The 15,400-nt window shown below is 38.7% G+C and overlaps 1 protein-coding gene and 1 long non-coding RNA gene across 2 annotated transcripts in view, besides 1 other annotated feature; one reads left to right on the top strand and one right to left on the bottom strand.

The window, feature by feature from the left end:
• Window positions 1-3,868, bottom strand: part of ADGB (androglobin) — a 216,491-nt gene extending 212,623 nt beyond the window's left edge. Inside the window, exon 1 of the mRNA NM_024694.4 lies at window positions 3,726-3,868. Coding sequence (NP_078970.3) covers window positions 3,726-3,799 — 74 coding nt within the window. The 5' untranslated portion in view covers window positions 3,800-3,868. The remainder of the gene's footprint in view (window positions 1-3,725) is intronic.
• Window positions 3,773-4,067: a silencer, noted in NCBI's record as "tiled region #4102; HepG2 Repressive DNase unmatched - State 4:PromP". NCBI's record gives its function as "represses a minimal TATA promoter and a strong SV40 promoter by Sharpr-MPRA in HepG2 cells {active_cell/tissue: HepG2}" and the evidence as "EXISTENCE:reporter gene assay evidence [ECO:0000049][PMID:27701403]".
• Window positions 3,909-8,324, top strand: ADGB-DT (ADGB divergent transcript). Its single transcript, NR_125860.1, has 3 exons — window positions 3,909-4,007; window positions 4,669-4,770; window positions 6,336-8,324. It is a non-coding gene; the product is annotated as an ADGB divergent transcript (long non-coding RNA).
• Window positions 8,325-15,400: the final 7,076 nt, after the last annotated feature.

The following is a 15,400-nucleotide window of genomic DNA, read 5'->3' as shown; positions in this document are numbered from 1 at the left end:
TATGCACAGTTTACAATAGGATTTGCGCTCCTATGAGAATTTAACGCCTCTGCTAATCTGACAGGATGAGGAGCTCAGGGGGAAATGTTGACTCCCCTGCCTCTCACCTCCTGCTGCACAGCCCAGGTCCTTACAGGCCATGGACTGGTACTGGTCCGCAGCCCCAGCGGGTGGGGACCCTTGACGTAGACAGCCTTCCCCGAACCTGACCATGCTGGCACCCTGCTTGTTGACTTCTAGCCTCCAGAACTGTGAGAAACAAATGTTTGTTGTTTAACCTATCCAATCTATGGTATTCTGTTACAGCAGCTCAAACTAAGATACTGGCAATGAGTTATAATCTGTGACAGTTGTGATGTTATGTTAAAGTTATCTTACGTTAAAAATTGTTATGTTAAAAGATGATAACAGAACAATCAGTTAAACCATGGTTTTAAACATTTTACTGTAACAAAATCCCCTCACTTATTATGGACCCAGTGAAGTTAAAAAATATATCTGATAGAATCATGGAAGTTTAGAACTGGAGGAAAATATAAAGCAGGGAAGGGAGAACAGGACATGCTGGGGTAAGAGCAATTTCAATTAAAGGACCCTCCCTTTAAAGAAGTGAAAACTAAATGTCAGAATAGAAAATGACTTGTCCGTTGTCAAAAAATTGATGCCAGAGTGAACCCTAGAATAGTGATTTCATACTGGCAGATACAGAGAACTAGGAAATAGATAAAATAGAAATTGTTTAATCTAATGTAAAAACTTACAGCTTAGTTACCTGGAATAGTTTTTCTTGGTGATTCAAAGTTATATTTACTTATGAATATGAACATAGATGATTCTACCGTAATCAGTTGTAACATCTCAGTTTTTGAACTTTGCCAATAGCAGATCAAATAGGAAAGAGAAGGAGAATTGGGCTTCGATCAAATTCAGAAGGAATGAAAACCAAGGTGGATAACAAAACTATGAGCTCATTTAGTAAGCACATGGTGACTTTTTTTATGTGCTAGTTGACATATGAGGCAAAAGCCAAACATGACACTTATTCCCAGTCTGACACATAATTTTAGGGCAAAAGAGAGATGTCAGAGATGGCATCTCTAGGAGTGTAAGATTCTATTGCATAGCCGTTTTCAAGGCTCTGAAGACTTTTTCTTTTATTTCCATATCCAGGAACATGTTAGAGTTGGTCGCATTTATTGGATATGTAAACACAAGGTGTGGTAAAATGACATAAAAACTTACTCTAAATCTCCCGGTGTATTTTAAATAACAATCATACTAGAGCCTTGCTAGACTTTGATCCCTACGCCTCATACTGAGTAACACTTTGTCCTACATCTATGGGTTAGCTTAGGTTCTGTGATTAGTTCTTCAGTTAAACTTAGAGGATAGACTTGATTTATAATGAACTTAACATCCAATTATTTAATGTTGCAGAAAAATCTAATGATTTGGTGTTTGATGCTCAATAGTCTCTAACAAATCTTAGCTTTTTAAAAATAACTCTTTGCCCTTCCTCTTCTATTTTCATAAATGTATGCATACATTTTTATTGATATAATTCAGATATTTTCTAGAAAAAAAACATGTTAGACATTTATTACCATCTCAAAAAGAAATAGACAGTCTTAGTAAGAAGAGAGTTTGCATCTTACCAGTGGGGATCTAGTTTCCATTGTGTAATACAACCATCAAAGGATCAGGGCAAGTAATGTGTTTTATGGTGTCTGGTTTGATAAGTTTCTTTATGGGAGTTAACAGTCACATCTCTTTCAGGATATAAACTCATTAAAGTCCAAGATTTTCCCGAAGCTCCTAAAGAGTTGTGAGCCTTCAATGTGCATTACTTGTAACCATCAGTGACTTAGTTATTTGTGTGTGTGTGTGTGTGTGTGTGTGTGTGTGTGTGTGTGCGCATGGGGGAGGGGTGTACTCAAAATTCTTTTGCAATCCTTTAATATCTCCTAGTTAAGAGAGTCATTCATTCATTCACTAAACACTTTTGAGTGCCTACTATGTATGATCTTGGAACTATCTAAGTACTAAGAATTCAACAGTATGTAAAATAGAAAAGGAAAATCCCTGCCTTCCCTATTGGGAAGACAAATGAAAAAAAAAAATGTAGTTTTTAAAAAGTGAAATATATAGCATGTTAAATGAGCAAAAAAATAAAAGTCAATAAAAAAATAAAACAGTGAAGGAAGACAGGGAGCTTTGTTTTGTTTTGTTTTATTTTGGCAGAGAAGTAGAGGTTGTAACTTTAAATCAGGTGGCCAAAGAAGCTAACAGGAGAAAATGACATTTAGGTAAACTCCTGAAGGAAGGGAGAGGGAAAACCATATGGATATTTGAGCAGAAAAGCTTTCCAATAGGGGAAACAGCAAGTGCAAAGGCCCTGCGGTGGGAACAATCCTGAGATGACTCAGGGAGTGGAGAGAAGGCTAGTGGAAGGTAACTTTAGAGAAGTAATACAGGCCTGATTCTGAAGGGCGTCCTCGGCCTTGGACCTAGAGGAATGGAAGCCATTAGACAACGCTGAAAAGACCTGACTTTGGTACACAGAAGTAAAGCAATCCTATTAAAATTACATATGTAATATTTATATAAAATTATATATGTAATATTACTTATATATGTAATATCTAAAATTTAAGCTAGTAAAAGGAATGGATTATCTGCCGGGTAACTGGAAACCTGCTTATGAGAGAGGTTAGAACTAAGGGACTAGAGATTCACAGACATGGGAATGAGTCTGGGAGAAGAATTCACAAAGAAAAAGAGTTTAAATCCTAGGGATCAGTGAATCATAGGGATCAGTCCAATGTGGAATTCTTCAGCCAGGGAAGGAAATGGAGAAACAGGCATCAAGGATGTAAGAATTCAATTTGAAATGATTGATTGCATCGCCCTCCCCATCAGGCAGAGCATGAAGAACATGAATGATCCCACTGAAGCAGGGCGGGCAGCTGGGATTCTCTCACAGTGGGAATGAACATTAGAAATGGTGTAAGTTCAAACAGCCCCAATCCTATGCTGTGGATAACTGGATATCCCTAGGGAAACAGACCACAGAAAATAATAATCATGGGGAAGTACATCCTAAGACACAACACCTAACACCAGCCCAGGACAAAGGCACCATAAAAATTCCATGAGCGAGGGTCTGTTTACTTTCTCAGAGTAAATGTTAGTAACATGAACTATACATTTATAATGTTTTAAGGTTTAGAAGCCACTTTACGTCTGACTATATCTGATTAAAGATCGTAGTCGTTGGACTGGGCAGATGCAAACTAGAAAATCACCATTAAGGTGAAATGTGTCCATGTCTGTCTGTCACTCGCTGTCTGTATCATTTCCGGGGCCATGAAGATGTGGCTTTAACCAGAAGTATTTGAGATATGCCTCTTTCTTAGGAAAGCTATGGCCTTTCTAACTGCCTGAGAGGGCTATGAAGAAGAGGAGGGGTGGCAGATTCACCCATGGGAGCTGAACACCCAAAGCAAGAAAATCAGGGGCTCTGGGAAAGGAAGTGAGTCAAGACAAGCAAGAGAGAAGGATGAGAGCGAGCACCTCCAGGATCTGGTTTACCAGAGAAGACAAGCTGCGAGGAGGCCACTAAACTTCTGCCCTGGCACAGTTTGCTGCAGGGAGGCAGCCCCAGAACTAGTGGTGAGGTCGAGGGGCTAGGCCAGGGGAGGGACGGACAGGCAGAGGTCCCTTACTCTTTCGATTTATCCGATCCGTGCGCCGAGTTGATACGATGCACCTCTTTCTTTTTGGTTTGTTTGGAGGCCATGGCAGAAGCCGATCTATGTAGGGCTGAGCTCTGAGCAAAGAGCCTGCGGGCGCGCTCGGCTCCGCGTCTGCGTTGCCAGGAGACGGCGTCCCGCGTCCAGCGCCCGGAGAGCGGGGGCGGGGCCCTGGGGGCGGGCTCTGCGGCCTGTGGCTGCAGAGGGACGCAAGAGCATAAACTGAAATCCCACATCCCCGTGGAGGAACTTGGAGTTGGTGTCTGGGGAGAAATCGAGGTTCTGGGGCACGGGTTTGGCATTAGGATTACTGGGCAGCCCTGATTAATTGGAGTTCTGCAGGACCTACACTGCCTGGCTTTGCCCTTCGGAACCATAGACATATATCGACTCTTGAATATCCAACTATTTGAACGTAGATGTTATCCTAGTACCACCCCAGTTATTCTCTTGGCTAAATATAACAAGTACCTTCAATAATTACTAAGGAGACATTACAGACACGCTGAAATTGTCAATGGCTTGAAAACCTGGGGTCCAGAAATTAACACAGTGGGTGTAAGGAAGGCAAAATAATGACACCTTGAGTCGCTGAGGGCTAGGTGATGATATCTGTAATAAAACCAATAAGGTGTCTTGTTGTTCGAATGAAAGAGTGAGTCCAAGTCATGGGCTCAGGTGGTCCTTTGCAGACTTTCCAGAAAAGGTCCAGGGGCCAGATGACACAGACAGAACCAAGTAAAATGAAACTTATTAGGGCGCAGGCTTAAGGCTCAGTCATCAGTGGTGATTTGTTAGTTATCTTGCCTTGGGCTAGTTTTTCCCTTTGAGTCTCAGTTTACTCACTTATAAATAGGAGATGCCTATTACTCACTTATAAATAGGAGTTATACCTAACTCACAGTTCTGTTTTGAGGATAAGATGCAAAGCGCAGCAAATAGGAGCCACTCTTTCAGAGATGACAGACCACCTGGTTTCGAGGAGCAGCAGACAGCGTGAATGAATGAAGTTGGCCAGGTAAATACAGAGTAGTGGATACTATGCTTAACTGAGACATGCTTAGACTGCAAGAGCTTGCAAATTTATCAAAACAAAACAAAATATTGTGTTGGTTCAATATAACCTCACTTCAGAGATATCTGACACACAGCCCTTAGGCCTAGGACCACTACTACTGGTTGGTGTCTTTCATGAGCCTAGAAATAGTTAAGTATCTTTAAATAAAAGAAATCCCCTCCACTCATGGGACTGGGCACATGCTCACAGTTCCACCTGTGCAGGCAAGAGGCAGCTTCCTGCAGAGAAAATCTTTCAACTTCTCTGACAAATGAATGCTCAGGGCTCTCCACTCAGCATAGCCTATGGTTTGTCAGACTATCCCAATCTTATTACTATTGGATTACTACTGGGGGTTACCTAGATGACAGACAGCCCCTTCGTTGTATTTCTATATGCAAAATAAATAAATTCCAAGTCAGCAGTGTTAATATTATGACTACAAGACTGCCCTGCAAACATCTCCTATATATGTAAAGACAATGAACACATCATGAAGATTCTGCTTTGTTTATACCATAATTCAAATTTCCAGAGAACTCTCTTGAATGAAAGTAGAGGACTAAATGGTGAGAAAAATTATTTACTACCAAATTTTGTCAGAGTAATCAAATTTATAGCTATAAGTATATACAAAGACTCTTGGCTGAAAACAGCACAACTTTAAGCAGCCAACCCCACAGAGAGGTGAGTTTCTTCTTGAACAAGGGCTATCCTGCAGCCATTGTTAATGGCTGCAAGATGCCAAAAGAATTAGGGAAGATAAGCCTTAGAAATCAAAAGATCTACATCCCACCGGTATTTTATGGACAAATAACTCCAGGCGAAGACAAGCAAAATGTCTTGCCAAAAGTTGCTGGGTTATTTATTGATGGAATTTGGACTAAACACATTAAAGTCAGCATTGCCAGTTTAAGCCAAACATATCACTACTCCACTCAGAGCTTGCTTTTTAAACATCTATTAAATTAGGATAAAGTAAGGGGGTTGTCACCAGAATGGAATAAGATAATCATAAAAGATGTGACGAGTATAAGTTGCCTATTAATTCCTACGCCAGTGTTCTTTCTCCTTTATTATATTAAGAGTGCAACATGCATAAATGGAATTTCTCTTCTTTCTGGAGCTAAGGTTCTGGTCAGGCTGTAATTATAAGAGCAAATCTGTTCCTCTCTAAGATAGTTCTAGCTACAAAGCTTAACATGATATTTATTGTGGCAGTGCAAAAAAGACAATAGGTCCTACTGCTGTTTTTATTTTTCTTATAACTGTTGTCAATGTCACTTTGGAATAATAATAATAATAGCTGTGATTTATTGAGTACCTACTACATGCAAGGTTTAGGGAAGGGTGCTAACTCCTTTAGAGATAAACTTGAATTTAAATCCTGACTCTTGTTGGGTAATTATGGGTGAGTTATTTAACTTCCATTTTCTTTATTTGTGGAAAGGGAAGAATAATACCTCAAATATGCTTGACTCATCCCAAGCATTCAGAGAATTATAGCTAATGTTATTATTCCACAGGTAAAGAACTGAAATGCAGACAGGAAATGGGACTTGCCTGACATGGAGCAGGTGGTAGGTGGCAGAGGAAGATTGGCCACTCCATAACCTGTGCTCTCTCCAATTCTCTGGACTAACTGTCCATACAGATGATTGCCCTGGGACTGAGCTTAGGGATTTCCAAACTCTTGCTATTTAACAACTGTCAAAGACTGAGAAACAGGGCTTATATTTTATTCAAGCTACCCAGAATAGGGCCTCTCTCTAATCTATACTTCCTTTTCGGGGAAGAGATATTTGGCTTCAGGCAGCAGTAGCGCCTGCTCCCTAGGGAAGTGGTTAGAGGTACCCACTTCCCCATATCAGCAGAAACAAAACAGGCAGGAGTCTCTCTGCTTGAGGATCTGCCTAAATAGGGAAGTGAGAATTGGCAACCACTTCTCCCTCCACCAATGGGAATCCTAGATGGAGGGAACTGGGTGGGAGATGGCAGGGGTGGGCAGAGTGGCAGCATTTCTGTTTCTTAAATCCATAACTCCATCTTCAGACACTTGATTCCACAGCCATAGGGAATTGTATATATTTTGCTGCTCAGCTACCTCTTTGCAATTAGGTCAATTATAAAATTACTTGGAATTTAACCAGCCAAATGAGAAAGTATGCATTCTACATGTTCTGTGTAAGGTTGAATTTAACTGTCACTTCAAGTTCTGTTCTTTTCACATTTCCATGGAAATTTACACCCTTCTCCTTTATTTCCCACAGAACTTTATTTGTTCATCTTTTAAAATTCCTATAATATTCTGTCTTGTTTTTATTAATACTTATGCCTTGTTTTTTCTCCTTTACTAGACTGTAGGGTCACTCAAAGCAAAAACTCCTCTTCTACCAAATTCATTCACACTTTTGAAGCTCCTAAACCCTTAATAATAAGAGCTTACATTTGTTGAGCACTTGCTATGTGCTTGACCCTCTTCTAAGCTATTTTTCTGTATTAATTCACTTAATCCTTACAAACACCCTAGGGATTTGCTATTATAATCTCTCTTTTATAAATAGGAACATAGGCAAAGAGTGGCTAAATTAAGTTAGTAAGTGATCAGGCATGATTCAAACTCATGGCTCTAGACCCATGCTCTTTATAACCACATTATTCTGCCTCTGACACCTTCAGTGATCACAACCCTATGAAGTATGAAACTCTGCCCATTTTATAGCGAAGAAAATGAGCTTTAGAAAGGCAAAGCAACTTGCCCAAAGTCCAAAGCACAGGGGGAATGGAGTCAAAATGCATAGGTGAACACTTTGGTTTCAGAGTGCAGGCTCCTAAACTCTCTGCTACATACACACTGCCTACTTCAGAGTTCAAAACATATTTACTTCAGATCATTGGAAATGGTATTAAAAATCACAACTGACATTCAGTTGTGTCCAGTAATATTCAGTCTCTACACCTGTTAAGGAGAAGTTGGATCCTGCAGATATGAAACCTGCTGGCCCTGCCACAGAAAGCCCCGTTATTCTGGGAAAAATTGAATTTATAGTTTTAATGACCTGTGAAAGGAAATTCTGAATAGAGGTTCTTTAAAAAATGGGGGATATGGAAATAAGTTATTAGTTGAAAAACAATTTCCATTTTGATAAGCTGCTTCAAGAAGAAGCAATGACTAACTGTAACTAAATGCTTCATCAGGATGCAAACAAACCTATTTTGTACAATGCTGCAATTATCTGTGCAGCAGATGGGTGGTTCTGTTTCCCCTTCTGGACAGAGACACTCACCCTTTGTTGTATACTTGCACTGAGAGCTACATGTGTCCCACTAGTTTATGTAAGAAGGGGATATAAATGGGGCAACTCTGAAAGGTGCTTCTCTCTCCAGAACTTCCCTTATGACCCATGAAGGCTTCTGTTACAACTGCGTTGCAGTTTAACTTCTCCTTCTCCCCAATCCTGCTTCCCCTACAGATGTTATTGAGAATACTCACTAATAAACCTCATGCATGCAAATCTCAGAGCACCAGAGCCTGGTTCCTGGGAACTAGCTTGGAACAGTGTTAGTAATAGGGATGATCCTAGGAAGCAGACTCTAAAATGGGATTTGGGAAGACTTCCACTTCCAAGCAAGATGAAGTAACAGAGAATTTACCTTCTCTCATGAAATAATTAATAAACTAAAGAAAATATATGAGGATATTGACTGTCAGACAATAAAAGAGAGTGATACCTGGGAGATGGAAACCAAAAAAACTGAGCCTTTTAATTGTCCCATCTTACTGCTAGGTTGTGGCACAGAAAAGGGGAACCTAGGCAGAGCCTGATGGTGGCCCTGATTGGGAGAGACAGAGCTGAGGTCCAGGGAGACTGGGCAGCCAGCGTTCACAGAATGGAGTGCCAGAAAGTAGAAGTTGCACAGACAGAGTATGGAGAGGACAGAACTGCACAGAGGAGAGATCTTCAGAGAGGAGGACTCAGTATTCATGACCGCTTATCTGTTCCTTCATGTGAGGAAATTCCCTGAGGCCAGGGGAAAAAACCACCTAACAAGTTTAGAAGGAGCGACCTTCTTTGAGCTTACGGTAGGCTGGGAATGGTGCCTATTACCATCTGCCTGATTGGAAAAAAACTCATAATTCACAGGGTATGGACTGGAATACAAAGAGAGTTTTGCCCTTGAGAGTGAACAATTCATTCTAGACGAAATGCTCCACTAGTCTCAACCAACACATCTGAAAAGCAGGATCTGAAAATATCAAACTATTTCCAAATAACAGCATCACAGAAAAAAATCTTAAGAATATTTTTTAGGAATACAAAAATATCCGAGTAAACAAGAATTTTACCTTGTTTACTTACCAACAAAGTAAAATTCTCAATAACTAATATCCAATAAAAATTAACAGGTCTGAAAGAATAAGAAAAATATGTCTCATTAAAAGAAAAATATCAACTAATTGAAGGTAACTCAGAAAAAAATAAGAGAATTATTAGAGAGGACATTAAAACAGTTATTAAAACTGAACTCCATATGTTCAAGAACTAAAAGAAAGAATATGATAAGTTCATTTTAGGAACTTCTAAAAATGCAAAGTACAATGTCTACATTGAAAATACACTGTGGCCGGGCGCGGTGGCTCACACCTGTAATCCCAGCACTTTGGGAAGCCAAGGTGGTTGGATCATCTGAGGTCAGGAGTTCGAGACCAGCCTAGTCAACATGGTGAAACCCCGTCTCTACTAAAAAAAAAAAAAAAATAGCTGGGCATGGTGGCAGGTGCCTGTAATCTCAGCTACGCAGGAGGCTGAGGCACGAGAATCAAGTGAACCTGAGAGGCGGAGGTTGCAGTGAGCTGAGATCGTGCCATCGCACTCCACTCCAGCCTGGGGGACAAGAGCGAGACTTTGTCTCCAAAAAGAAAAAAAAGAAAAGAAAAGAAAAGAAAAATACACAGTATGAAACTAACAACAGATTACACATTGCAGAAAAACAGATTAGCCAATTTGAAGACACATCAATAGCGATTGTCCCAAGTGAAATATAGAGAAAAAAACTGTTGAACAAATGAATAGAGCATTTGGATACTGTGGAACAACTTCAAATTGTCTAATAAAGATTAGCTGGAGTCCCTGAACGGTGAGGGCTGGGGTCAGAGATGGCACAGTGAATACAGAAAAAAATTACATGAAAAAATGATGGAAATTTTCCAAATTGCATAAAAACTATAAATCCATAGATCAAAAAAACTTAATGAACTTCAAGCAGAATAAACATGATAAAACTACACCAGGGGCATCACAACCAAATGGATTAAAGCCACAGTTAAAGCAAACATTGTAAAATGGGTCAGCTTTGGAGCTGACCAACAGGTAATGAGTTCCTCATTAGTGCAGGATTGCAGTGCAACTGTTAAACTTTGACCTGTGGTAAATTACAACAAGATAATAGTAGAAGAGAATGCACCAACAGATACAATATCTCAGGCCTTTGAGAGGTTTTGAGAAATAGTAATTATAAGGATTAAGAAACTGGATGGCTGTTGCCACTCTAAAAATAAGAGATATAGTTATAATAACCGATTTCTTGTTCTTGTCTATTAACTAACATCTATGTCATTTCTGGGTCAGGTTCAGTTGAATTATCTTTCCTCCTAATAGGACATGTTTTCCTCATTTGCTCTATTTTTTATTAGCTACAGGACATGTTGAATTCTACCTTCTTGGATGCTTGTACCATCTGTTACAGCTATTAATTTTTCTTTAATGTAATTGTGTTTATCTGGATGTTTAGTTTATCTGGAGGTTAATTTTATGCCTTGTGTATTTCTAAAAAGATGACTAAGATTTGGTTTTTATCCCCAAAGAACTCATAATCTTGTGGGTTATGAACCTACAAGGAACTAGGACTGATATTTACAAAATGACACAATGAATTCCATAGAATAGCTGTTAATCCTGATGAAGGACATCGAAGGGGTCATACAGCACATTGTGACTGGAAAGAAATCTCTAGCTGAGATTAGACACATGGGCATAAGCACAAGACAGATGCATGGTGAGAGGGTGGGAGTGACATTTCAGATCTGGATCATGAAGCAGTCCTGGGTGACTTGCTGCAGCAAGAAGTTCTAGATAGTGAAAGGTGATGTTTTGAAGGTTTCAGCACAAGTACAAGAGCAGATGAAAGAACACTAGACAAACTTCTCCATTTTTGCACTTATGCAATATGTCACCAAGTTAATTTAGAAGATTCTATTTAGGCAGTGTACAGGTAGATTCTAATTGTAGCATTGAGTTTACTGGCATTTAGACTTGGGTTTCAACTTAGCTCTATTATTTGTAAGATGTATGATAACAGGCAAGCTATTTAGACTCTCTGACCTTGATTTTACTCATCTAAAAAATGGTTATAAACTTCATTCCTCATCTGATTATTGTGACAATTGAGATGCATATTTTAAACAAAAATGAAACAACATAAGACAACGCAATCATTCTTATATGAGAAACCATTACGTAGTCTATATGAAGGTTCAAAAATAGCTTGGCATAAACCGAAGTTGCAAAGAAGAGACTAACAGAATTTTGTATTGAGATGATCTATAAAGATTTCAAATAATTCCAAAAACTTTTAAAAGGATAGAAAATTAATTTGAAGTATAATTTTAAAACATGAGAATTATAAAGAAAAAATAGAGCTTCATGATTATCATAAGGTATACTAGTCTCCCCAAAGAATCTTCATCTTATATACCTTGTGAAGGTTGTTAGATGCCATTCTGTCTTTTGACTTAATTGCTAGTAATTCTTTACATTTATGAAGCTTATTCAATTTTCCACATATTTAAATATCATATCTCACACATGCTATTTATACAAAAAAGTAACATTTAAAAATATATTCTAGTGTTTAAAAATGCAGACAAATTTAATTAGGAGCATGGAGCAGAAGAAAAGTTAGATTTTTTTATTATAAAAGTGTTGATTTTGGAAATATGCAAGTATAAGCACAAGTAAAAAAAATCTCTAATCCTAACTTCCAGAAATAACCACTGACAATATTTTGATGTTACAGAGGCTTCCCATTATGTACGCAATTATTTTATAAATTGAGTATTTGACTTTTTTCACTTAACTATTGTTGTTAACATTTACTAAGGTCACTTAATTGTTTTCTACATGATAAAAATTTTAATAGCTGTGTAGTAAGCCTCACATGGATGTACTTAGCCATTGCCCTCTTACTGGACTTTTAGGTTATTCCTGTATTTAACTAATGTGATTGGAAATACAGTACAGGACAGATGAACAGGAATGGGGAAGTGGAGGCCTGGACTGGCTTTGCATGAGTCATTTCATCTTTCCAAGTTCTAGTTTCCTTACTTAGAAAATTGTCAGGTAAGCTGGGTATGGTGGCTCATGCCTGTAATTCCAGCACTTTGGGAGCTGAAGCAGGAGGATCACTTGAGCCCAAGAGGCGGAGGCTCCAGTGAGCTATGGTTGCAACATGGCACTCCAGCCTGGCAACAGAGCCAGGCCTTGTCTCAAAAAAGAAAAAAAAAAAGAATGGTCAGATGAACTAGATGATGTTCCAGATCCTCATTAGTGCTAGTATAGACACCAGCACTTCCAGAATTAAAGAATACTTTGGTGAGGAATGTCTTGAGTAGGGCATCACTATGGGAAACTGAACAATTTGAGGGTAGTGTAAGGACATATGTATGGTGGGCTTTTCGCCGAATTAAAACAGCAAGAAGTGAGCAGTGGCAGAAGCCTGGGAAACAAAGTAGAAAGGCATCAAAGTATCTCTGATTCTGCCAATCCTTTCCCCTCTAAAAAGGGGAATGCTAAAAAGGATTGACATCCAACCTTGTCATCCCTCTTGACACGAGGCATGTGTTGCTCTCTCAGAGAATGATGCTTTCAAATGTGATTAGGCATTTTACACTGTTTGCATTTGAGCATATTGTCAGCTTCATAACCAAGTTTAAAACACAGTTTTATAATATGCATTAATTTAAAGGCAACTAATTTAAGATAAGTTTGCTTTATCAAGGAGTCGAAAAGATGGAGCTAAAGTTAAAGGCTATAAGAGGAAGAAGAGCATTGGATAATGAAAGCTTCATCTAATAAACAGACTTATCCATTCTTTGATTTAACACAAACTTATTGAACATCTGCTATGTTCAAAGTCCAATTCTAGGGTCTGGAAGGGTTCAAAACAGACAAAATCCTAGTTCTTGTGAACTTACATTCTAGTACAGGGAGAAAGATAATAAACACATAATATGCATGTTGTTATACTATGTCAAAAGTGGGTAAATACTAAATAGGAAAGGGAAATAGGGTAGAGAAAATAGGAAATGGAAAAATTGAGGAGGAAATTGCTATTAATTGCATCAAGGGCATAGGAATGGCCACTCTAATAATGGGACATTTGAAGAAAGATTTGAAGTAAGATTTGAAGTGGGAAAGAGACCAAGCCACCCATACCTCTGAAGGTAAGACCATTCTGGGCAAGGCCAGTAGCAAGTGAAATTTTGAGATAGGAGGGTACATGATGTATACTATGCCTTCATGAAAAGAACAAACAGAGCATGGGGAAAAGTAGTAAAAGATGAATTTAGAGAGGCAGCAGGATGGCAGATCCTATACACCCCTATCAGGAACATGGCCTTTATCCTGAATCAGATGATAGCAATTAGAAAATTTGGGGCAAAGAAGTGACATGATCTAACTTAGGCTTTAAAATGATCTTTCTGGATGATTTGTTGAAAATAGACATAGGTGGCTGCTCAGGATGAGAAGGGCAGAAGCTACAGAAAGTAAGTTAAAATGCTATTGCAGTAATTCAGAGAAATGCAATGTTGGCTACGCTGGGGAAAAGTATAGGAGGGTGAGGACTGGCCTGATTCTTGGTGTATTTTGAAGGTATAGTTAATAGGATTTGCTGATAGATTGGATGTGAGGTATGAGATAAAATGAGATAAAGGAAGAGTCAAGGTGACAGCAAGGATTTTGGCCTGAGTAACTGAAAGAATGCAATTGCCATCTGCTTAAATGAGAGACTTTGAGAGCATAGGCTATGGCAGAAAATGAGGAGTTTAGATTTTAACATTTTAGTTTTGAGATGCCTATTAGTAACCCAAGCAGAAATCTCATGAAGGTAGTTGGATATATGAGCCTGGAGTTCAGGGCATAGATCTGAGCTAGAGATGGAAATTTGGGGATTATCATCATAAATTAAATTCCCTAAATAACTTTACCAATGCTATAAAATATATTTTTATTTTTATAAGAACCTGGGGGAAAATTCAAGTCAGAAAATGATTAATAGGGATTTAGGCTTAATTTCTTCATGCAAGTAAAGACACTGTGATTATTATTTTTAAATCAATCCTTGCTGCTTAGATGAAATTATACTTTAAAAATGTCTTTTATTGCTTTAGATGACTACTCTAGCTTATTAAAAACATAGCTCTAATATTCTCCCTCTACACAGAGCAACTGTTAAATGAAATTTGTCCTCGAAAGGAAGAAGGTTTCATAAGCAATTATTGGATTTTAGACTTACGATCTCATTTCATCTAGGACCTCATTACAAACAAGGGGAAAAGAAAACAGAAGTTCAAAAGGTGAAGTGACATGCCCAAAGTCATACAACTAGTGGACTTATTAATTATTTAATGCAAGAGTTATTTACTGAGTACTATGTGCAGGGTCACGTTCTAAAGCAGTTAACCATAAAGACTGCCCCGTGGAATTTACAATCCCTTTAAAAGAGGGGAAACTAGAAATAAAAAACCATGCAAATGTATAATATGACAGTTAGTTGATAAGTGTCATGAAGAAAAATGAATCAGGATAAAAGTAGGGTGATAGGTAATTTATTGTCTAAATAGGGACATGTTTTTAGAACAAAAGGAACTGAAAACTAGACAGGATGCCAGGTCAGCAGGCATAAGCTGGGACATCCTGTACAAACTTAAATGTAAGGTCACCCAGATAAACTGGATGATGGAAGGAGGTACAGAGGAGATGACTTAGGTTTATTTCATATAAAGTGGTCAGAAGTAAAAGGCTATAGTGACATTTGTGGAGAGACCTGAAGACAGTGATAAAAGGGGACATGTATATATTTGGGGTAGACCTTTACAGGTGAAGGAGGTAACAGTGACAAGTTAAACACCTAATGAAGCAGTGGCCATTACTCTTGAATGTTTGTCAGTGTCAGGTAGGGTGTCAGACAGGTGAAAATGTGTCCATTCAGTTACAGCAAGTTCTTGTTTGCTACATGTCCCACTCATCAACATGACCAACAGCAGTCCCAGTTCTATCATCAGATGGTTGGCCATGGTAGCTACCCTAGGCAACAGCTTCCCATAGACCTCTCCATGAACTTCCTCTTCTTGGTCCTACTACAGTCACTGGATGTGCTTGGTTTCTCAGATTCTCTTGAAGGATCTTACTTGTCCACCTGCACCAACCTTTCAGGTAAACTCATTAGTGACTCTGATCCAACAACTCTCCGATTTACTCCATCTACTCTCACTTGAGTATAAAATCTAATGCATTTAATAAATCCCTTA

The sequence above is a fragment of the Homo sapiens genome, chromosome 6 (assembly GCF_000001405.40).
Source record: "Homo sapiens chromosome 6, GRCh38.p14 Primary Assembly".
NCBI lineage: Eukaryota > Metazoa > Chordata > Mammalia > Primates > Hominidae > Homo > Homo sapiens.
The sequence above is the reverse complement of the archived record's forward strand: the minus strand, read 5'-3'. Positions and strand labels throughout refer to the sequence as shown.